This window comes from Homo sapiens, chromosome 8 (assembly GCF_000001405.40).
Source record: "Homo sapiens chromosome 8, GRCh38.p14 Primary Assembly".
Classification (NCBI taxonomy): Eukaryota; Metazoa; Chordata; class Mammalia; order Primates; family Hominidae; genus Homo; species Homo sapiens.
In genome coordinates this window covers 84422794-84446493 of record NC_000008.11, presented here as the reverse complement: position 1 = coordinate 84446493, position 23700 = coordinate 84422794, and the positions used below count along the sequence as shown (strand labels likewise).

Genomic DNA, 23700 nt, shown 5'->3' with positions numbered 1-23700 from the left:
AAGATTAAATCCAGGTCTCTTAATTAACAGCGTACTATTGAAATAACCCTAAAAAGCCCTTCCAGAGCTAGATCCATGAATATAACGATTCTGTATTTTTCCTTTTTTTTGCACCCACTATACTCTTTCAAGCACACAAACACAATCACATTTATAAACAGCACATAATGCTTTCATTTTTAAAAAAGAACTATGATTTTTTTTCTTTCTTTGATCTCATTATGGGTATTCCCATTATGGGTAGTTCAATATGTATGCTACTTCCTTGAGGCATGTGGAAATAATACACATGAATAGTTTGCAGAGAAAAACAGAGAGGAGCACCATGCATTTTGAGAAATATAAGCACACATATCAAACACAGGGAACACGTAGAATATAAAGTAAATTATGTGCATATCTTGGAATGCCAACCAAAACAGCTAATATCGCATATAAAATATAAAACAAGGAAATCTAAATTTGTCATTTCCTGTTTTCCTTGATATTTTCAATATAAATTTGAAAATCAATATTTTTAAATATTATATAAATCTTTAAACAATAATCAGAATCAAATATTATCAAATATTGGCCTCCTTTTAAAAAAGTAGAATGAATTATCAAAAAAAGAATACTATTACATTATTATATAAAATTATATATAACTTTACTTGTGAAAAATTAAAGAACATAGACAGGTGACTTAGTGTGGCTCCAAAAGAAATATAGAATCATTGATGTTGTCACAAGAGGGAGCCCACGTTTTTCAATTAATGCAAACACATTGCAAGTAAATGAAATGAAAGTAATTTAATCCTGACAAAATGTGAAGCTATATATGTTATAATATAATTCATTATTGATAACAAAATATAAATTATTATTAAGTATCAGTATTAACCATTCTTTTTTTTGTTTATCTGGATGGAAAGTGAGAAAAACTTTTTAATGATTTAATTTCCAAACAAACATAGAACTATGATATGCAGGAAGGAAATAAAACACGTACTACAGTTTTAATACTAAAGTTTAAAAGTAAAATATATTGTTCTGGCAGTGTGCGATGAAAAAAGAGACGAGTTGTCTTCTGTTCATAATTATATATTAGATATCCTTCTAAATTCACTTACATTTTTTCTAGAACCACTATTGAGTGGATGGCAAACAAAAGAAAAAATACTGATTATAAAGTCATGTAACTTCCTGTAATTTATATAGACTTCAAACATGTTGTAGATGATAAATACATACATTTTATGTCACTTTAAAAATTAAAATTAAAAAGCTTCATGGAACTTCCTGAAAGATATTTAACGTCTTTGAAATTAAGTTTTCTACATCTAAAACAGAATGTTAAGCTATCTTTCAACATGGTTGTGAGAATTAATGTGATAATCTAGTAACACTTGGAGCATCAGTACCTGGATTTTGGTCATTGCTAAAAAATGGCAATTTATTTCCACCTTTTGGGTAAACATTAGAGACATAACTCTAATAATAAACACTTTTAAGTCCCTTTTGTAAAAATAAACCCTTTCCTGGTACTTAATTCACTGTCTAAGCATTGATTTTCATCACTGGTTTCTTTCTAATCTAAGTTCTCAAAAGAATAGCATACATCAGCCATTATAATTCTTTCACTCTACCAAAAGTTCTCATATCCATTTCTGAGTAAATTCAAGGTGCCAAAACAAAATGGCATTTTTCAAAGTTTATCTTACTGGGTCCTTCTGAAGTGTGTTAAGCAATTAAATTACTTAAATTTACTTTTCCTCTCTGATCATTCCTATTGTTTTTTGCATGGACGCTTGTCTCCTATTATTGGCTTTACCCAGAGTTAAGCCATAGCCTCCTTGTTTGTTCCACTATATCTGTGGTTTCTAGAAATATCTTCTTCCATAGTTTCAGTACCACCTCTAGAGTGATAAAACAGGTAGACAAATGGATCTGCTAGAATGATGTATCTAGCGTGCATACCTAACCATTTCTCTTTCCTGCTGAAAACTCTGCTGGTATTCTCCTTACCTAAACAGAAGAAGGCTAACTGGGAGATCAAACAACCTGTTGTTTTTTCTCGTTCAGATACCCTTGATCTATATAATGTTTTGTCTTGATGTTCTTGTTTTGGGTGTGTGTGGTGTTTTTTTTCATTGTTGTTTTTTTGCTTGTTTGTTTGCTTTTCTTTGACAGGCTCTTGCTCTGTTGCTCAGGCTAGTGTGCAGAGAAATGATCAGGACTCACTGCAGCCTCAAACTCCTGGACTCAAGGGATCCTCCCGCCTCAGCTTCGCAAGCATCTAGGACTATAGACACGCACCACAATGCCCGGCTAACATTTTTATATTTTGTAGAGATGGAGTCTCACTATGTTGCCCAGGCTGGTCTCAAAATCTTGGCCTCAAGTGATTCTCCTGCCTTGACATCCCAAAGTGCTGACATGACAGGCATGGGCCACTGAACCCAGCCTGTTTTGTGTTTTTTATTTGAATACTTATTCACACAAAGGAAAATAAGATAAAACAAAAAATTCACTCCTCTGGCTTTGGGTAAAAGTTAGGAAAACTGACAATATTGGACACATAGTATCTGTTTCATCATTACTTGCCCTGTTCTCTACCATTTTGCTGCCACTGGAGGTTGCTATCATCGAGTTTGTGTTATTTTATTTATTAGTATGTAATTAAGAAGTAGGTGAAGCATTTTTTATATCCATGCCTACGTCAGAAGTGGAAAATTTAAAGCTAAACACAGGGGGTACGTGCATCAAGATAAATTCAAAGAAGAAGATACTGTACCCCAAAAATAAATTTAAGAAACCTACATAGAATTAGGCCAGCTGCTTCACTTAGCGCCCTCATGCCTGGCTCCTACAGGCATCGAGATTGTGATCACAAGGCTGCATGTGAGAGCACGCTCTATACCAAGCAAGGGACTAAATGTTTCATATGTACAGACTGAGTAGACATGCATTAAGCTCATACATTCCAAGCTCTTCAACTGTGATGAGATTCCTTGTTCATATTTGCATGACAAGGCATCCAATCAGCTCTAATGCTCGCTGATAAATTAGATGGACATTTTGGGCTGTGAGATGTGAGTTTCCAAACATTAACTGAAAATAAAAATCTCTGCAATGTGCTAGTTACTTTCCTTGTCTTCATTTGGAGTTTTTTACGTAACTAGGGTCAATGATTCCCTAATCCAAACAGTTACAGAGGTAATACTCTTTGAGACGTTATTTCCTTACTGCAGAAAAAGACAGTCTCTACTAGCTCTTTGTTAGGTGGTACCGTTTACTTCCCATGTAATATTAGCTTTATCAGGTAAAGTCTCTGAATATGAGTTCCTCTTCTGTAAAGTAGGCAATAACACTCACCTAATAAAATTGTAGGAAGAATTAACTGACCAATGTAGTAATATAAAAATGATAGCTGACTTGTACTAAGTCCTTACAATGTGGCCACAGCCTTCTTAGCTTTGCAAACATTGACATATTTAGCCTTCACAACAGCTTCATGAGGTAGGCTCTTTCACATCACTTCCCTTTACAGATAGAAAATTGAGGAGTAGAACAGGAGGTCACATATAAGAGAAGTGTGAGAACAAGTTCTGAAAGCCAGGCATTTTGGTTCCACAAACCATTATATTTTACCCTTGACCAACAGAAGATGCTGGCTGTCACTCGGTAAGTGGCAGGTAGATTGGTACGTCTGTAGCATGACACGTGAGTTCTTTTGTGGCCTGTTTTCTGTTATTCCCTGCTTTGATCTTTCCAATACAAAAACAATACGCAGAGTATCCTCTGCCTCCAAGCTTGCAACCAAAAATGTAGTTCACAGCTTCCTTTTGCTGTTTCCTGTGAGGGAAGAAGCATTCCTACCCACCCTTCAATGCAGCACAGGAATTATTGACTCAACATCTGTCTCTCCTTCCAGAGGAGCTCTCATGGAAACTATCCCATCTTTGACTGTAAGCACCTTGAAGTTAGGAACTAGGTCTTATTTGGTTTTGTGTCTTCACAGCCTTTCATAGTTCCTCCCATGTAGAAGGCAAGCAAAAATGGTGGTTGTAGGAAAAGAAAAAGAACAGACAATAAACGTTGTATAAAGAATTTAATACTAGAGAAAATAGACTCTATGTACGGCATTTAAATTGGAAGCATTTAATTAGAATCAAATTGCAAGTGCTAACATAAACTGATCCTAATTTAAAACCTGAACAGCCATAAAATAGTTTGTTACCATTTAAATTTAGCTATGTTATTACAGTGATGTATATTTATAATCTTTTTTCATATTTACACAAAAATGAGTATAACAAGAAAATTTAAATTTTAGAGGAGATAGAAAAGGAAAACCACATAGGAGAGTAACAAACATCCCAAATGCATTTCCATGGTTCTTCCTCCATTTCTTTCTTTTTGCCTTTGTTGGTGCTCCCTGTTATCCAAATGTTCAGTGATATTCCCTTTTGTTTAAATAGCATTTCATTGTTCTCATATTTTCTACTTAATGTTTAATTTCAGCTCATTTTTATGATGTGAACAAGGGAATAAATATACCTATATGTGGCTGTGGGCAAAGCATTGTATAAATTATAACCCAGAGAGGAATTTCCAAAGCCAATCTTACAAATGCCCCAATACTAGTCCTGAGATATGAATTGCCATGGGCAGTGGGATGAGGAATTGACGTATATGTCTAAAGAAAACAATGAAAACCCCTATTTTGAATTTAGATAAGCTACTAAACTTTTATAAACATTATTGATACTTAAATCAATCATAATGTGAACAAAATTTGCCGATCTGATTTGACATAGGTCTAAGGATTTATTTAGTGCACTGCTCTTTTCCTCTTTTTGGTTCTTCTAGCTCCGACAGTTCACTATGCCACCTTTCCCACAGATGTAAATACATGATCGTTCATGCCTGAGGGCTTTAAAGCAAACTCAAAAGAATAAACATTTTTGTAGCTAGCTCAAAAATAAAATTATTTTTCAATCTCTAAATCTGACCTTTCAAAGCTTTCTTCCACTTTATTGTTATGAACATCACAACTACTTTTCTAATCCTTATTCACCAATCAGCAACATTTATCCATTCAGTTGCTACACTGGACTCTGTTTTCTCTCCAATATATTCCGAGGCCAAAATTTTGGGCTCCACCTCAGTGCCTTTGACAAATTATGAACAACTTGAAATCAGAAACCGTTTCTTATTTACTTTTGAATCTGTAGAGATCTCACATTAGCACAGAAAATAAAATTAAACACAAAAAGTTTCTCCCCTGGAAATATCTAAAGAAGAAAATGTGAAGTCTTCTTAAAAGAAAATGTACAAATTTATAATTCCAAGTTAGTTTAAAGACTGTTTTATACATTAATATGCTTTAAAGTATCATTTATTATTAAAAAAATACACCACTACTACATACCTATTAGATCGGCAAAACATATAAACAAACAAAATCCTGAAACTAGTAAGTAACAAAGAGAATGTGGAACAATGGAAAATTCCATTCATTTCTGGTGGGAATGAAAAATAGTAAAACTACTTTGGGAATAAGGATTTTTTTCTTTTATATTATTAAACATACACTTAACCATACAAACCAGAAATCCCTCTTGTAGAGATTAAATCAAGTTAAATGAAAACTTATGTTCACCTAAAAACTTTTATGTAGCTATTATGTAGCTTAATGTAGCTTTGTTCATAATCCTCCAAACCTGGAAACAACTCAAATATCCCTCAAACAGGAATGAATAAAAAAACTGTGTCATATCCATATAACAGAATACTGCTTGGCATAAAAAGGAAAATAATATTAATATGTGGAACAAGGAACAAAGTAGATGAATCTCAAATGCATTATGCTTAGTGAAAGAAGAAGCAAGACTTAAGAGAGTAGGTTTATGTTTATAACATTCTTGCCAAGGTAAAATTACAGGTACAGAAAACTAATCAGTCATTACTATGGGCTGGGACACATAGCAGATTAATTATAAGAGTTGCTGCATTTCCTGAGTGATTTCTATGTACCTGCATCTTATTCAATCCCTCCAAATCAATCCTGTACAAAGTACAAACGATTTTTTTCTCCATTTTGCAGAAGCCACTGAAGTTTTAAAAAGTCACAATTTGAACTTAGCCCCTTGCTGTTAATCACTTCACCATTTTGTCTCTCACAAAGTTAGGGACATGCCAAAATTTCAGATGTCATGAAAGTGACCAGTGTGAACATTATCAATTACATCTTTTTAGTACTTAAAGAAAATATTTGCATAAAGTTATGAAAATAAATATCAATATTGTCAGCGAACTGAAGAATTCCAATTATTACCTGCCTCAAACTCTAATATCTAAACTTGTCTGTATGAACTTAGGAAAAGTATTTTCTTTCTAAAGAAATTTTGCAGTAAGCTCCAACATTCTGCCTTAATCATAATGACTTACAAATGTAAAATAATATGGAGATATTAAGAATTAACTGTGATTTTATTATACTACAATTCTGACTTAAATTTTGTTACTGAAACCAATTATAACTGCACATATCATTATGCTTACACTAGTTAAAAGGGTTTGAACCTTGGGTAACCAGTGAAGATTACCGACATGCATGAGCAAAGGATTATTAAGTATAAATCCAGCATAGCCAATCAAATAATTTTTTAATTATAAAGAAATCTAAGTATTAACACACTTACAAACACCTTTCTCTTAATTGTGACCATAAGAATCTGACAGGTTATTAAATTTGGCTGAAGAAAATGCTAGCATACTGAACTGTGTTTTAATTACTAAAATCAGGAGCATAGATCAATAGAAATGATGAGCAAAAGAAAATCATATATATGAAAAAAACAACAAAATATCTATCACAATTAAGCTAATCTCCATGACGCAGAAAATAAATCCTGAAAACAAAATGACAGATGATGCATGTAGCTTATTGGAATAAGATTCCCTCAAAAATGATGATCCAAAAGACAAATTAAAAGAATGCTTATATTAGACAAAATACAGATTGGAAAAGTCTTCTATCTAAGTGCACTTGTTTGTATTATTTATTTCTAGTATATATTTAATCAAGTTTGCCACCTCTAAACACATCCCCTGTATTGTACACAGCAGGAACATTCCTACCAGGCAGAAAGGAGAACACATCAGAAAAAAAGGGAGCAAGCTGGAATAAAAATGACTCCTGTGAGTTGAAAGATCTCTATAAGGAGAATTACAACACACAATGACAAGAAATCATAGATGACACAAACAAATCGACAAACATTCCATGTTCATGGATTTGAAGAATCAATATCACTAAAACAACCATACTGCCCAAAGCAATCTATGGATTCAACACTATTCCTGTCAAACTACCAACATCATTTTTTACAGAATTAAAAAAAAAATCTAAAATTAACGTGGAAACATAAAAGAGCCCAAATGACGAAAGCAATCCTAAGCAAAACAAAACAAAGCTGAAGGCATTGCATTAATGGAATTCAAACTATACTATAAGGCTCTAGTAACCAAGGCCTACGTTGGTACTGATAAAAAAAAAAGATACATAGACCAAGGGAACATAATAGGGAACCCAGAAATAAAGCTGCACACCTACAGCCATCTGATCTTTGACGAAACTGACAAAAACAAGCAATGGGGAAAGAACTTCATTTTCAATCAATGGTGCTGGAATAGCAGGCTAGCTATATGCAGAAGAATGAGACTGAACCATTACCTTTTAGCATATACAAAAATTAACTTAAGATGGATTAAATATTTAAATATAAGACCGCAAACTATAAGAATCCTAGAAGGGCTGGGTACGGTGTCTCATGCCTTTAATCCCAGTACTTTGGGAGGTCAAGGTGGGCGAATCACTTGAGCTCAGGAATCTGAGACCAGCCTGGGCAACATGGCAAAACCTCGGCTCAACAAAAAATTTTTAAAAAAATAGCTTATTGAGATGGCCTATGCCTGTAGTCCCATCTAATTATGAGGCTGAGGCAGGAGGATGGCTTGAGCCCAGGAGGTGGAGGTTGCAGTGAGCAGAGATTGTGCCACTGCCCTCCAGCACGAGCAACAGAGTGAGACCCTGTCTCTAAATAAATAAATAAATAAATAAGTAAAATAATCCTAGAAGAAAACCTAGAAAACACAATCCTGGACATCAGCCTTGGGAAGTAATTTATGGATACATCCTCAAAAGCAATTGCAACAGAAACAAAAATTGATAAGTAGGACCTAATTGAACTAAAGAGCCTCTGCACAGGAAAAGAAATTATCAACGGAGTAAACTAAACAGACAACCTACAGAATGGAAGAAAATATTTGCAACTAATCCGACAAAGGTCTAACATCCAGAATATATAAGAAAGTTAATTCAACAAGCAAAACCCAATCACCCCATTAAAAAGTGAGGCAAAAGACATGAACAGATACTTGTCAAGAGAAGACATAGCAATGGCCAACAAATACAGGAAAAATTGTTCAACATCACTAATTGCATTAGGCTGTTCTTGCATTGCTATAAAGAAATACATGAGACAAGGTAATTGATAATGAAAAGAGGTTTAACTGGCTTGCAGTTCTGCAGATGCATGATGCTGGCATCTGCTTGGTTTCTAGGGAGGCCTCTGGAAACTTACAATCATGGTGAAAGGCAAAGAGGGAGCACATCACATGATGAAAGCAGGTGCAAGCGAGAGAAAGAAAGGGGGAAGGAGAAGTGCCACACACTTTTAATCAGATCTCTCAAGAGCTCACTATCATGAAGACAGCACCAAATCATCAGGGATCTATCTTCATGATCTAAACACCTCCCACCTGGCCCCACCTCCAGCACTAGGAATTACAATTCAACATGAGATTTGGGCAGGGACAAATATCCAATCTATATCACTAATCATCAGAGAAATGCACATCAAAACCACAATGAGATACCATCTCATCCCAGTCAGAATGGCTACTATTAAAAAGTCAAAAAACAACAGATGCTGGTGAGGCTGCAAAGAAATGGGAATGCTTATGTGCTGTTGATGGGAATGTAAGTTAGCTCAGTCACTGTGGAAAGTAATTTGGAGATTTCTCAAAGATCTTAGGACTACCATTCAACCTAGCAATCCCTTTACTGGGTAGATATCTGAAAGAAAGTAAATTGTTCTGCTAGAAAGACACATGCACTTGTGTGTTCATCACAACACGATAGCAAAGACATGAAATCAACCTATGGCCCATTGATGGTGGATTGCATGAAGAAAATATTGTACATATATACCATGAAATGCTACACAGCTATAAAAAGGAATGAAATCACGTCCTTTGCAGCAACATGGATGCAGCTGGAGGCCATCATTCTAAGTTAATTCAGAAACAGAAAACCAAATACAACATGTTCTCATTTACAAGTAAGAGCTAAACATTGGACACACATGGACATAAAAATGGCAGCAATAAACATTGGGACTACTACAAGGGGGTAAGGAGGAGGGAGCAAGGGTTGAAAAACTGTTGGGTACTATGCTATCTTCTTGGGTGACAGGTTCAATCGCAGCAACCCCAGCATCACTCATTATACCCATGTAAGAAATCTGCAGATATACCTCTTAAATCTAAAACAAAACTTGAAATTATTAAAATAAATAAATAAATAAATTGTTTAGAGGGTAGATCTTATGTTAAATGTCCTTACAACAAAATAGGAGATGGGGCACATAGAAACTTTTGAGAGTCATGGATATGTTTATTATAATCTTGCAGTAAAGTTTCACAGATGTATGTGTATGTTCAAACTCATCAAATTATATAGATTAAATATGTATGCTGTTTTTATATCAATTATACCCCAATAAAGCTGTTTTAGAAACTAAGTTAAAATGTTCCAAGAAGTACATCCACCACTGTCTTCCCAAACAATAAATAAGTAGCTTAAAACTTCAAAAAAAAAAAAAAAAAAAAAAAAAAAACTCCCATGATTGTTGAAAAGACACTCTCTTTTTAGTGCCTCTGCGAAGGTTTTATTTTTTGTTTGTTTTTTAAAGACATGATAATGTGAGAAGTTCCCAATATAAAACTGATCTCATAAAAAAGGGGATAGGCTGCCTTATATATGTAGTAAATTCTGAAAAATCATTTTGGATCAGAAGCACCCATTCATTTTTAAGGAATTTTATTCTTGGCTTCCTCTCTAGCCCTCTACCTCTTCAATACTGCTTGGTTTCTACTGAGAAGCAAATGTTCCCTTTTCATTCAGCTGTCAGCATTCTGGAGTTCTGAGCCTGTCTTGGAGTAGGGCTCTTAGTCATCCATATCAGAATCATCTAGAGTATTTAATAATATTTAATCTTCTTCAAATTGCCTAGATCAACTACTTCAGACTTACTGGAAATGGATTTGGGAATCTCTAATTTTTTTACGTGAATAGGTTTTGGGAAACAGGTGATGTTTGGTTACATGAATATGTTCTTTAGAGGTGACTTCTGAGATTTTGGTGCACCCATCACCTGAGCAGTATACACTGTACCCTATGTGAAGTCTTCTATCCCTCACCTCCAGACACTTTTAATCCACAACAACCATATTTCTAGAGAAGAAAGCATCCTTTCTATCCAATCCTGCATCTCCATCAGGGGACAGCTCTGAGTAAATCTAGAGACAGTAGGGTGAGTAGGAAAGACTGGGTCCTGCCCTGAAACACAGTTCAATGCCTTATTTTCAGGAGTGAAAGAAAAGGCCAATTCTAGAACTACAATCTAGTAAGATTCAGGAAAGAGAGGCTGGCCTTAGTTTCTTTGGTGAGTATGGTAGTGATTACCCTGAATATTCAATTACTGGCAAACAAGGCAAATGTAGTTCTGTGATATGTTGAGATTAAGATTAAGTTTTAAGCACAGCACTTCACATGATCCAATCTTGTTATATGGTGGGTAGTAAAAAGTAATTGTGGAACATCACCGACTTACAGTTACTTACATTAATGTATGTCTCTAGAGTTCATTAAAAAGTCCCCTCTGAATATTTTTCCCTTTTTTCTCTAAAATTTCTGAAAACTACTAATTATTTAGTGTTGTTTTTGGAGACTGATCTGAATCAATATATTTAGCAGCATAAATTTGTGCTTTGAGAAAAAATTTCATCCAAGATTTGTAATATTTCTACCAATAATAGAGGGATAATGTTATGTTATGTCTATACAGTAAATGATTTTTAGAGAAGGGAATCACATTCCTTCTCACATACAGAAATAAATTTGAATTACATATAGCTATGAATTCTAATATCTGTGTAGGCTAGTAAGCTCTGGTACAGAAAGAAATAATCACAGTGTTAGAATCACAGAATCCTCCACATCAAAGAATATAAAAGCTTTCTTTTTTCCCTAGTAGCTGTTTTTCATACTCTTCAAAGTTCCTCAGATAAAGACAGTACATCCTGTAAGAGACTAATGCATTCTCCTTCCATCTAAAAGCCGAATGGAGCAATTGAAGAGGTCATGTCATATTCTTGAAATGGTCATGTTAGTGTGTTCAAATATCAGTTTATCTCCTTTGCATTCATTACTTTGAAGATATTATTACTTGAAATAATAGGGATTACTATATTCAAATCCAAATCAATATTAGCAGTTTGATCAAGCATATTATTCAGTCTGGGCAATATAGCAAGACTTTGTCTCTACAAATGTATATATTTTTTTAATTTGCCAGACATGGTGGTGTGCACCTGTGATCTCAGCTACTCGGGAGGCTGAGTTGGGAGAATTACTCGAGCTCAGGTAGTCGAGGCTGAAGTCAGCCGTGATCTATATTTTCTTACCTCAAGAAAATTATCAGGTTGGAAAACAACACTGTCAGTAATTATTTGATATGAATACTCTTTGATTAATATTCTTTAAGTTTGCTTTTAAAGAAAAACGTTATCTATCCACATGAATTTATGGCTAAGGTATAACTGGCACGTACAAATGAAATATATTCTCAGTGTGCAGCATGTTCTGGTACCTGTATACATTGTGAAATGGTTAAATCAAGCTAATTCATGTATCTGTCACCTCATATACTTTTGAATATTTCACAGGGCTTTCTAGAAAGGTAGTTCCTTAGCTAAGAATCTGTACAAAAACAAGTTATTTATGCCTTGTGCTTTGTGCTGAATTGCGTCTCCCTCAAATTCATATGTTAAAGTCCTAACCCCCGATATCTCAAAATATGACTCTGTTTGGAGATGGATTATAAAAGGGGTAAGTTAAAATGAGGTCATTAGGGTGGGCCCTAATCTAATATGACTAGTGTTCTTTTAAAAAGTAGAGATGAGGACACAGGCACAAAGGGAAGGCCATGTGACAATACAGTGAGAAGACAGCCAACAACAAACCAAGGAGATATCCACAGAAGAAACCAGCCCTGCCAACCCTTGATCTTGGACTTGTAGCCTCCCAAACAGTGAGGCAATGCATTTTTGTTGTTTTAAGTTACCCAGTCTGTAGTACTTTGTTATGGCAGCTCTAGAAAACTAATATACCTACCTTCCCTTGAGAAGGGAAGACATCATTAAGCTGACCAATTGAGGTACCCACAAACAAATTTCAGTATGAATGCCAGAGACTGAAATTTGAATATATATATTTTCAAATGTTACACATGGTATTATATATATATATATATATACACACACACATACACACACACACACACACGCACACATACATGCACACATATATTAGTCCATTATCATGCTGCTGATAAAGACATACCCCAAACTGGGAAGAAAAAGAGGTTTAATTGGGCTTACAGTTCCACATGGCTGGGGAGGCCTCAGAATCATGGTGGAAGGTGAAAGCCACTTCTTACATGGTGGCAGCAAGGGAAAATGAGGAAGGAGCAAAAGCAGAACCCCCTGATAAACCCAACAGATCTCGTGAGACCTATTCACCATCAGAAGAATAGCACAGGAAAGACCAGCCCCCATGATTCAATCACCTCCCGCTGGGTCTCTCCCGCAACATGTGGGAATTCTTGGATATATAATTCAAGTTGAGATTTGGGTGGGGACACAGCCAAACCATATCAAACATCGTCCTGTTTTAGGTGCTATGTTACAAAACTATAAAATATAATTCTCTCCCTCTAAGAATTTATAATCTACATACATAAAGAAAATAAGATGGTTAAAATAAAAATAAATACTACAAGGCAATATAGACCTAAATACTGATCTGATTGCCATAAATGATGAATGCTAAGTTTGGAGTGAATGTGCTACTGGCTGAGGTGGAAAGAAACTTCCATGTCAAGAAAGGCACATATTTGTCTCCTGAAGGACTACACAAGAACACTGTGGTTTTACAGATTTTTAACTTTAGCAAATTACACACAGGAAGTGTTTGATGTTTTTAAAAGTTTCCCATAAGCACAGACTTCCCCACTATTAGACTATATAAAATAGGAACAATCGCTTTTGAGCAATTATTGTACCTAATACTTTGCTTAATATTTCTTAAAATATCTATTAAATATACATATATATATGTATGTGTGTAAGAGTTTCCATAACAAAGGACCACTAACTGGGTGGCTTAAAACAATGGAAATGTGTTGTTTCACAGTTCTGGAGGATAGAAGTCTGAAATTGTGATGTCAGTAGGGCCATGCTCCCTGTGAGACTCTGGGTAGGAACCTTTCTTGCCTTTTTTTAGCTTCTGGAGGAGGCTGGTCATCTTTGTTATTCCTTGGATTGCAACTTTATAATTCCAATCTATGCCTCTATCATCACGTGGCATCTTCCTTTGTAAATTCACATTGTCTTATAAAACTCCAGGCATATTGGATGTAGAACTCAGCCTACTGTAGCATGACTTCATCTTAACTAATTATATCAGCAAGGACACCATTTCTAAATAAGGTCACATTCTGAGGTACCAGGGTTAGTGCTGCAACATATCATTCTGGGGGACACAATTCAACCCATGCAGATTATTGTGGTGAGAACATTTAACATGAGATCTACCCTCTTAACACATTTTTAGGTATACAACACAGTATTATTGACCTTAGGCATGATTTAATACAGTAGATTTCTAGAACCACGTATAATTTGTACAGGTATTGAATAGCAGCTCCCTATTTCTCCCCTCCCCTCAACTCCTGGCAACCACCATTCTATTCTCTGCCTCTGTAAGTCTGACTATTTTAGACTCCTCATATAAGTGAAATACTGCAGTACTTGTTTTTCTTTGCATGGATTATTTCACTTAGCATAATGGCTTCCAGATTCATCCATGTTGTTGCATATGACAGGATTTTCCTTAAAGGCTGAATAATATTCCATTCTATATTTATACCTCATGTTTTAGCTATTATGAATCATGCTACCACAAACAGGGGAGCGCAAACAATCTCTGAGACCCTGTTTTCAAATCTTTTGGATACATATCCAGAAGTAGAATTGTTAAACCATATGGTAGTCCCATATTTACATTTTGAAGAACCTCTATGCTATTTTCCATAGCTGCTACAGAATTTTACATTCCCAACAGTGTACAGGATTCTAATTTCTCCACATTCTTACCAATGCTTGTTTTCTTATTATCCAGCAATCCCCCCACTGGGTATATAACCAAAGGAAATGAATCAGTATGTTATAGAGATCTCTGCACTACCATGTTTATTGCAGCACTATTCACATTAGCCAAGATATGAAATCAACTTAAAAGTCCATAAATGGATGAATGGATAATGTGGTAAAGACACACAATGGAATGCTATTCAGCCACAGAAAAAGGAAATCCTGCCATTTGCCTCACCATGAATGAACCTGGAGGACATTATTGTAGGTGAGTTCATCCAGGACAGAAAGACAAATTCTGCATGATCTCACTCAAATATGGAATCAAAAAAGGTTGATACTATACAACTAGAGAACAGAATAGTGGTTACAAAGGTCTTGGGTGGTTGTGTTAGTAGGAGTTGAGAAAATGCTGGCCAAAGGATGCAGAATTTCAGTTAGATAGGAGGACTATCTTTTGTTTCATTTTTTGATAATAGCCATCCTAACAAGTGTGGGGTGATAACTCGCTGTAGTTTCATTTGCGTTTCCCTCATAGTGATATTGAGCAATTTTTCATAGACCTGTTGGCCATGAACGAAAAAAAAATCCTAACTTTGTGGTGAGTGGTGGGAGTCAGGATAGTATAGTATATTGGCCAAGTGCACAATTTGTGGAGTCAAAATGCCTGGCTTCCAGCACTGGTTCTGACACTCCTATCTTTTTATGATGCCCCTTCCTGCCTTGCAGTTGTCTCCCCAGTGGAAGGAGGCTTAACAGTAAAACCTTATAGGCTGTTGTGAGGGCTAAAGATGCTAATGCCTGTAAATCTGAGGAGATCCCAGGCACACTGTAAGTACTCAGGACAAGCTGGCTACCATTATTACATTCCTACATCAGTCAGCTAATTCTCCCAGAGATTTTATGAGATCGGTATTAGTGCCCTACTTTACAGAAGAAGAATTCTTACTCAGGAATGTTAAGTGACAAACCTCACATAACACAGGAAATAAGTAGGACATTATGAAGCCCAGCTGAGTGACTGTGGGACTCACACTCTGTCATTGACGGTATGGAAGGCACTGTTCCATCTAAATAAGCAGTGAGAAATCAGTGAAATTAACACCTGCTATTGAAGGTTATATTACAGGAACATTTTCCTTACCACCATAATCTGCTTTGAATGTTAGTAAATAATTTACATATTTTTATTCATATATTCTGAAGCTATCTAGTAAGGCATGTTTTAAAAATAAATAGTTAAAACATTAAAAATTCAAAATTGTCATTCATAATTTTATAAAAAGTGCTTCTGTGTCTTGTGCTGTGCAATTTTATAAAAAACATGATTTTTTCCAGAGCCAAATGTTTTACACTAGAGTAAACCACTGACACTCACTGGTTTCCTCCCAGTGGTTCTTATTGTCTCTATAAAGCTAGGTCTCAGATGGAGAATAGATGTTTTTTGTAGTCCTTTGCACATTGCCACTTTGTGAGTGACTTTCTTTCCTCTATTTGAACAAAGAGAAAAGTACAATTGTATTTGAACTTAACAACAGAGTACAAAAATTAAAAGAAATTCCATAAAGCAATGAATATTCCCCAAAGAAAAGTATACAGTACTTCAATTGTCTTCAAATAACTAATGTTTAAAATAAATTACTGCACGGTAGAGGAAAATATATGCTTTGGAGTCCAAAAGAACTGGATTGAAATTCTAGTTATGGTGACCCTGAAAAATTTTTATCACTATGTTTTCCATTTGCTCACCATAAAATAAAGGGAGGGTTATTCTGACCAATATATTTAATATATGATTAATATAACTAGCAAGTTGTTTAGCATGGAATTACACACTCAACAAATGTTTTATCTTCTGTGGCAAATTTAACAAGGACAAGTAAAAATCTGTGTTGTATTATCTCCAAGAAAAATGGAACTCTTTTTTTTTTTTTAAGCAAACTCTCCTAGAAGTCTATTTCCTATCTTTTCTTGTTTCTTTCTGCACCTTTCAGAGTAAAATGCAAAAACTGGGCAGAGGGGCAATACGTATAAGTTATCTGAAGGTAAAAATTGTGTCCATGTTCACGATTCCCCAGTGATAGTGGATAGGTATTGTTGAAAAAGCAGATAGTGGACATCCTTTAACTCTGTCTAGTAAATGACATGTTTTCCTTTTATAATTGCTGATGGGAAATTTACATGCAGATTTAAGAGGCTAACACCCAGACACCACCTCCAATTCCCAAGCCTCTTCTAGCACATCAAAATAATTTTTGAATGCTTACAGTGTGACAGTCACTCTATTAACATGAAAGTTTGGGAGGATAGAGGACTTTTAACATTTTAAGAATGGCAAGTCAACCACCGCAGAAATAAACATGTGAAACAAACTAAAAATAGAGATGCATATGTATCTGTATCTGTGTTTTTCAAACAAAAATATAATGTGGACTTGGGGGAAAATTTTATTTTTCTGGAAAAAGCATTTTAAAAATCTCATTTGTTTCAGCCCTCATTGAAAGTACTGGTCCAAAATGCATTGGGACTTCATTCAACAAAGGAACGAAGATCAAAACTACAGCTACAATATCAGGTTTTTAAAGATGTCAAATCTCAACAGCACTAAACCAGTTCTTCATTGTTCGTATGTTATTCTTAGTTTGTAAGTACTCAAACAGCCTGTGCAATTCTTCCCTGCTTCTTTTCTGCAATGATTTCCTTTTCAATGATTTAAGCAGTCTATTCACAAAAGCAATGCTCAGAAATCCAATTACCATTCCAACACCATGCTTTTGTAAGCCTAGAGCATTAAGCCATAGAATATGCTTTTTCGTGCCCCTTCCTAGTACCTCTCACTCAGCATTTCTCTATCAAAAGGGGTTTTGGTTTTGTTTCCCTTTGCTTGGCTTTCATTAGATAAAGGAATGTTGCCATAAATTACTTTAAAACAATGGGGAAATCTCTATAAATCATCCATGTGTAAGTAAATCCTAGGGTATGTATAAATAAAGAAAAATTGAATATGCAATTTTTCCCCTTGAAATAGTATTTGCTTTGCATTAAAGGTGGTTTATAAATTATAAGTCATAATGTATTAATAGACATAACTCACACAATATACTTCACATTGAATGCCAAGTTGGTCAGATAAATTAGGAAATGTAGAGTAGAGGGTACCATGGTAATTATACTATACAAAGTAACTTCACCCTATATATGTTTTCTGTGTGAATTCCTTTATCTGCAAATTACACTGTATGTGTCTCTGTGTATCTGTGTGCATCTTAGCATATGTGTGTGAGCAAATAAAAGTAAAGGTTAGAAAAGGACAGAAACATAGTAAAATTTCCAATTTAATTTCTAGAAGCAAGAGACAAAGATACTGACAAAGGGTAAAGGAAAGAGAGAAATCTTTAATTAGATTGAGGCTGACTACATCCATTTACATCAAGAATTCTATGTTTATGCCTTTTACATTGAGCCATTTCTCACAACCCTACTCAAGAAAAATAAGGAAGAAAAAGGTAAGTGATCTAAATCGTACATCTGAATTGAAACCAATTTTTCATACCCCACATTAGGATGAATCCAAGATACATGTGAAACTCCTCGGAGGTGATGGAATTTTTATGTTTATAGAATAAAAAGCCCTCATGATTAACGACCATCTGGCTACTTTGATTATCTTTTTATCTAACATTAGCTTTGGGAAACAAACTAGGTTTAAAAAGCAAAAGAAAACTATAACTAATAGTTTATATATTCTATAGAGTTATTTATTTTAAATAGTTTCAGTATAAACTTAAAATATATTGAACCACGTGTGTGTGTGTGTGTGTGTGTGTGTGTGTGTGTGTGAGAGAGAGAGAGAGAGAGAGAGAGAGAGACAGCGAGCAAGCGCAAGCGAGCCGGATCAATAAGACCTTGTTTGGTGAAAAAGTCTCTCTGGCAATCTTTATTTTACAGGTAAGGAATCTGAGACATACAGATTTGAAGATAGATTCATTGCCTTAGCAATAATGAATTGAATGCCTCCTCTATCCAGGCAGTGTGGCAGATACAGAAGATGAAAGCAGTGACCTGTATATATTTGCTTAAGAAGACCACAGTCAACACAGGTGAGGAGGGGAGAGAGAGATAATTACAAGACAATGTGAAAACTAGTTTGCAAGGATTATGAAGACAAAGCTAGAGCGGTAGAGGACAAGTGTCTAACCTGGCTAGGTTACTTAAAGAACGCGTCTCAGATAGCAGTAGAACAGGAGATATTCTGAGCAAAAGAAACAGTAGAGCATAATTAAAGGCACAGAGGAGAGACAGGACATGGGAAGATGAGTAATACATATGGCTAAGGCACAGGATGCCTAAGGGCCAGTAGTAAAAAATGATACTAAAGAACAGATCTTGAAAGGTTTTTTTTTAAATGCATACATATGTTTGATATCATACTGTGGGTCAGTGTTTTCTCAAAATATAACTTGTGGAGCAATAGCAATTGAAAACCACAGAATGCTTAATTAAAACACAGATTAATAGAACAAGCTTACAATCTAACTCCGTAGGATGTAGTCCAGAAACCTTCATTTTACCAAATTCCCAATCACTAATGAGAAAGGCCTGCTATTATCAGTTTTGTTATCTAAAAAGGAGGATATGGAAGCAGTGTGGAGAATGGACTGGAGGGCCTGAGGGGAGAAGCTGGAAGTCTAGTAGGGAAGCTATTGCCATAGCTGAGGCAAACGATGATGGTACATGCCATTGTGGCAAGGCACCAGTCATCTCTCATGCACACACTTGCTAGTTTCCATTGGGCATATCTGGGGTGAAACTGCCCCTTTAAATTTTGTCTTAGAAAATAAGCCTTTGAAATTAGTAAAATTATATATATGTACCAATTTATTTATCTGTTCATCCATGAGTTGTTTCCATATCCTAGCTTTTTTAAATAACACTACAATGAACATGACATGGGAGTGCAGGTATCTTTATGAGGTGGTGATTTCATTTCCTTTGGGTATGTGCCCATAAGATCATATGGTAGTTCCATTTTTAATTTATTTAGAAACCTCCATACTGTTCTCCATAACGGCTGTACCAATCTTCATTGCCACCAACAGCATGCAAGAGTTCCCTTTTCCCACATCCTTTTCAACATTCCTTATCTTTTGACTTATAGATAATAGCCATCCTGACAGGTATGAGGTGGTATCTCACAGTGGTTTTGATTTGCATTTCTCTGATGATTAATGGTGCTCATTAATCTGTTGGCCATTTTCAATGTCTTCTTTTGAAAAAATGTCTAGTCAGGTCTTTTGCCCATTTTTAAATCAGTTTATTTGTTTTTCCACAATTGAGTTGCCACTAAAAAAGGACAAGATCTTGTCATTTGCTACAACATGGATAGGCCTGGAGTACATTATGCTTATTGAACTAAGTCAGACATAGAAAGGAAAGTATTGCATGATCTCACTTATATGTGAAATCTAAACCCACACACACACACACACACACACACACACACACACAGAGAGAGAGAGAGAACGCAAAAGAGTAGTTACAAGGGGCAGGAGGCAGGAGGAATGGGGAGATGTAGATCAGTGGATACAAAGTAGCAAATATGTAGGATGCAAGAGTGTAGAGATCTAATGTACAAATGAAGGCTGTAGATAGTAAAATTGTGCAGTATATGAGATTTATGCTAAATAAGTAGATTTTAGCTGCTCTTGCCACAAAAACAAACTAAAACTAATGGGTAACTATGTGAGATGATGGATATATTAACTTGCTTCACTGCAGTAACCTTTATACTATCTATATGTATCCCATAATATCATGTTGTATACCTTAAATACACACATTACAATTTATTTAAATAATACATTTCATTAAATAAATAAATTAGTAAAAACATTTTGGTTCTCAGTTCAAGGAGATATGAGAGAGATTTTAGCTACACATTATATAAATGGATAAACGGTTATCCTCAATTCTTCTCTATTTTAGATAATATATATACTCTTTATTTCCTAGTTCCAATGAACCCAAGGGATGCTGCAAAAATGCTGTACTGGTAGCAACCAAACCCCAGTTAAATTCTCACCTCAAGTTCTATCAATAGCTGACTACCTTTCAAGCAACTTACACACACACACACACACACACACACACACACACACACACAGAAGAAAAACTGGCTTTCTAAAAATTGATGCTGCAATTGCATGCTATTGTTGGATTGATCATGTTTCTGGAGGGTCTCTGGAGTGACAATCTTCCAATAGCATCAGGATAGGATATTAAGTTTAATAATTAGCTGGAGAGAAAAGTTTAGAATTGCTGTTTTGGAAAATTGGACAAGTGGCTGTATAAGAGTTCATAAAAGTTAAGACCAGGAGGAGCCAAGATGGCCGAATAGGAACAGCTCCAGTCTACAGCTCCCAGCGTGAGCGACGCAGAAGACGGGTGATTTCTGCATTTCCATCTGAGGTACTGGGTGCATCTCACTAGGGAGTGCCAGACAGTGGGCGCAGGCCAGTGGGTGAGCGCACCGTGCGCGAGCCGAAGCAGGGCGAGGCATTGCCTCACCTGGGAAGCGCAAGGGGTCAGGGAGTTCCCTTTCCGAGTCAAAGAAAGGGGTGACGGACGCACCTGGAAAATCGGGTCACTCCCACCCGAATATTGCGCTTTTCAGACCGGCTTAAAAAACGGCGCACCACGAGACTATATCCCACACCTGGCTCGGAGGGTCCTATGCCCACGGAATCTCGCTGATTGCTAGCACAGCAGTCTGAGATCAAACTGCAAGGTAGCAGCGAGGCTGGGGGAGGGGCGTCCGCCATTGCCCAGGCTTGCTTAGGTAAACAAAGCAGCTAGGAAGCTCGAACTGGGTGGAGCCCACCACAGCTCAAGGAGGTCTGCCTGCCTCTGTAGGCTCCACCTCTGGGGGCAGGGCACAGACAAACAAAAAGACAGCAGTAACCTCTGCAGACTTAAATGTCCCTGTCTGACAGCTTTGAAGAGAGGAGTGGTTCTCCCAGCACACAGCTGGAGATCTGAGAACCTGCAGACTGCCTCCTCAAGTGGGTCCCTGACCCCTGACCCCCGAGCAGCCTAACTGGGAGGCACCCCCCAGCAGGGGCACACTGACACCTCACACAGCAGGGTATTCCAACAGACCTGCAGCTGAGGGTCCTGTCTGTTACAAGGAAAACTAACAAACAGAAAGGACATCCACACCAAAAACCCACCTGTACATCACCATCATCAAAGACCAAAAGTAGATAAAACCACAAAGATGGGGAAAAAACAGAACAGAAAAACTGGAAACTCTAAAACACAGAGCGTCTCTCCTCCTCCAAAGGAACGCAGTTCCTCACCAGCAACAGAACAAAGCTGGATGGAGAATGACTTTGACGAGCTGAGAGAAGAAGGCTTCAGACGATCGAATTACTCTGAGCTATGGAAGGACATTCAAACCGAAGGCAAAGAAGTTGAAAACTTTGAAAAAAATTTAGAAGAATGTATAACTAGAATAACCAATACAGAGAAGTGCTTAAAGGAGCTGATGGAGCTGCAAACCAAGGCTCGAGAACTACGTGAAGAATGCAGAAGCCTCAGGAGCCAATGCGATCAACTGGAAGAAAGGGTATCAGCAATGGAAGATGAAATGAATGAAATGAAGCGAGAAGGGAAGTTTAGAGAAAAAAGAATAAAAACAAATGAGCAAAGCCTCCAAGAAATATGGGACTATGTGAAAAGACCAAATCTACGTCTGATTGGTGTACCTGAAAGTGATGGGGAGAATGGAACCAAGTTGGAAAACACTCTGCATGATATTATCCAGGAGAACTTCCCCAATCTAGCAAGGCAGGCCAATGTTCAGATTCAGGAAATAGAGAGAACGCCACAAAGATACTCCTCAAGAAGAGCAACTCCAAGACACATAATTGTCAGATTCACCAAAGTTGAAATGAAGGAAAAAATGTTAAGGGCAGCCAGAGAGAAAGGTCAGGTTACCCTCAAAGGGAAGCCCATCAGACTAACAGCAGATCTCTCGGCAGAAACCCTACAAGCCAGAAGAGAGTGGGGGCCAATATTCAACATTCTTAAAGAAAAGAATTTTCAACCCAGAATTTCATATCCAGCCAAACTAAGCTTCATAAGTGAAGGAGAAATAAAATACTTTACAGACAAGCAAATGCTGACCGATTTTGTCACCACCAGGCCTGCCCTAAAAGAGCTCCTGAAGGAAGCACTAAACATGGAAAGGAACAACCGGTACCAGCCACTGCAAAACCATGCCAAAATGTAAAGACCATCGAGACTAGGAAGAAACTGCATCAACTAACGAGCAAAATCACCAGCTATAATCATAATGACAGGATCAAATTCACACATAACAATATTAAATTTAAATATAAATGGACTAAATTCTCCAATTAAAAGACACAGACTGGCAAATTGGATAAAGAGTCAAGATCCATCAGTGTGCTGTATTCAGGAAAACCATCTCATGTGCAGAGACACACATAGGCTCAAAATAAAAGGATGGAGGAAGATCTACCAAGCAAATGGAAAACAAAAAAAGGCAGGGGTTGCAATCCTAGTCTCTGATAAAACAGACTTTAAACCAACAAAGATCAAAAGAGACAAAGAAGGCCATTACATAATGGTAAAGGGATCAATTCAACAAGAAGAGCTAACTATCCTAAATATATATGCACCCAATGCAGGAGCACCCAGATTCATAAAGCAAGTCCTGAGTGACCTACAAAGAGACTTAGACTCCCACACATTAATAACGGGAGACTTTAACACCCCACTGTCAACATTAGACAGATCAACGAGACAGAAAGTCAACAAGGATACCCAGGAATTGAACTCAGCTCTGCACCAAGCAGACCTAATAGACATCTACAGAACTGTCCACCCCAAATCAACAGAATATACATTTTTTTCAGCACCACACCACACCTATTCCAAAATTGACCACATACTTGGAAGTAAAGCTCTCCTCAGCAAATGTAAAAGAACAGAAATTATAACAAACTATCTCTCAGACCACAGTGCAATCAAACTAGAACTCAGGATTAAGAATCCCACTCAAAGCCGCTCAACTACATGGAAACTGAACAACCTGCTCCTGAATGACTACTGGGTACATAACGAAAT

General features: G+C 36.4%; 1 protein-coding gene across 55 annotated transcripts in view, besides 1 other annotated feature; it reads right to left on the bottom strand.

The window, feature by feature from the left end:
* The window catches only part of RALYL (RALY RNA binding protein like), a 739058-nt gene that overhangs the window by 475351 nt on the left and 240007 nt on the right, over positions 1-23700 (bottom strand). The gene's annotated exons all lie outside the window — the stretch shown is intronic.
* Positions 21215-21784: an enhancer, noted in NCBI's record as "H3K27ac-H3K4me1 hESC enhancer chr8:85336945-85337514 (GRCh37/hg19 assembly coordinates)". NCBI's record gives its function as "activates a minimal SCP1, AML or CMV promoter by ChIP-STARR-seq in naive and primed H9 embryonic stem cells {active_cell/tissue: H9 hESC(naive and primed)}" and the evidence as "EXISTENCE:reporter gene assay evidence [ECO:0000049][PMID:30033119]".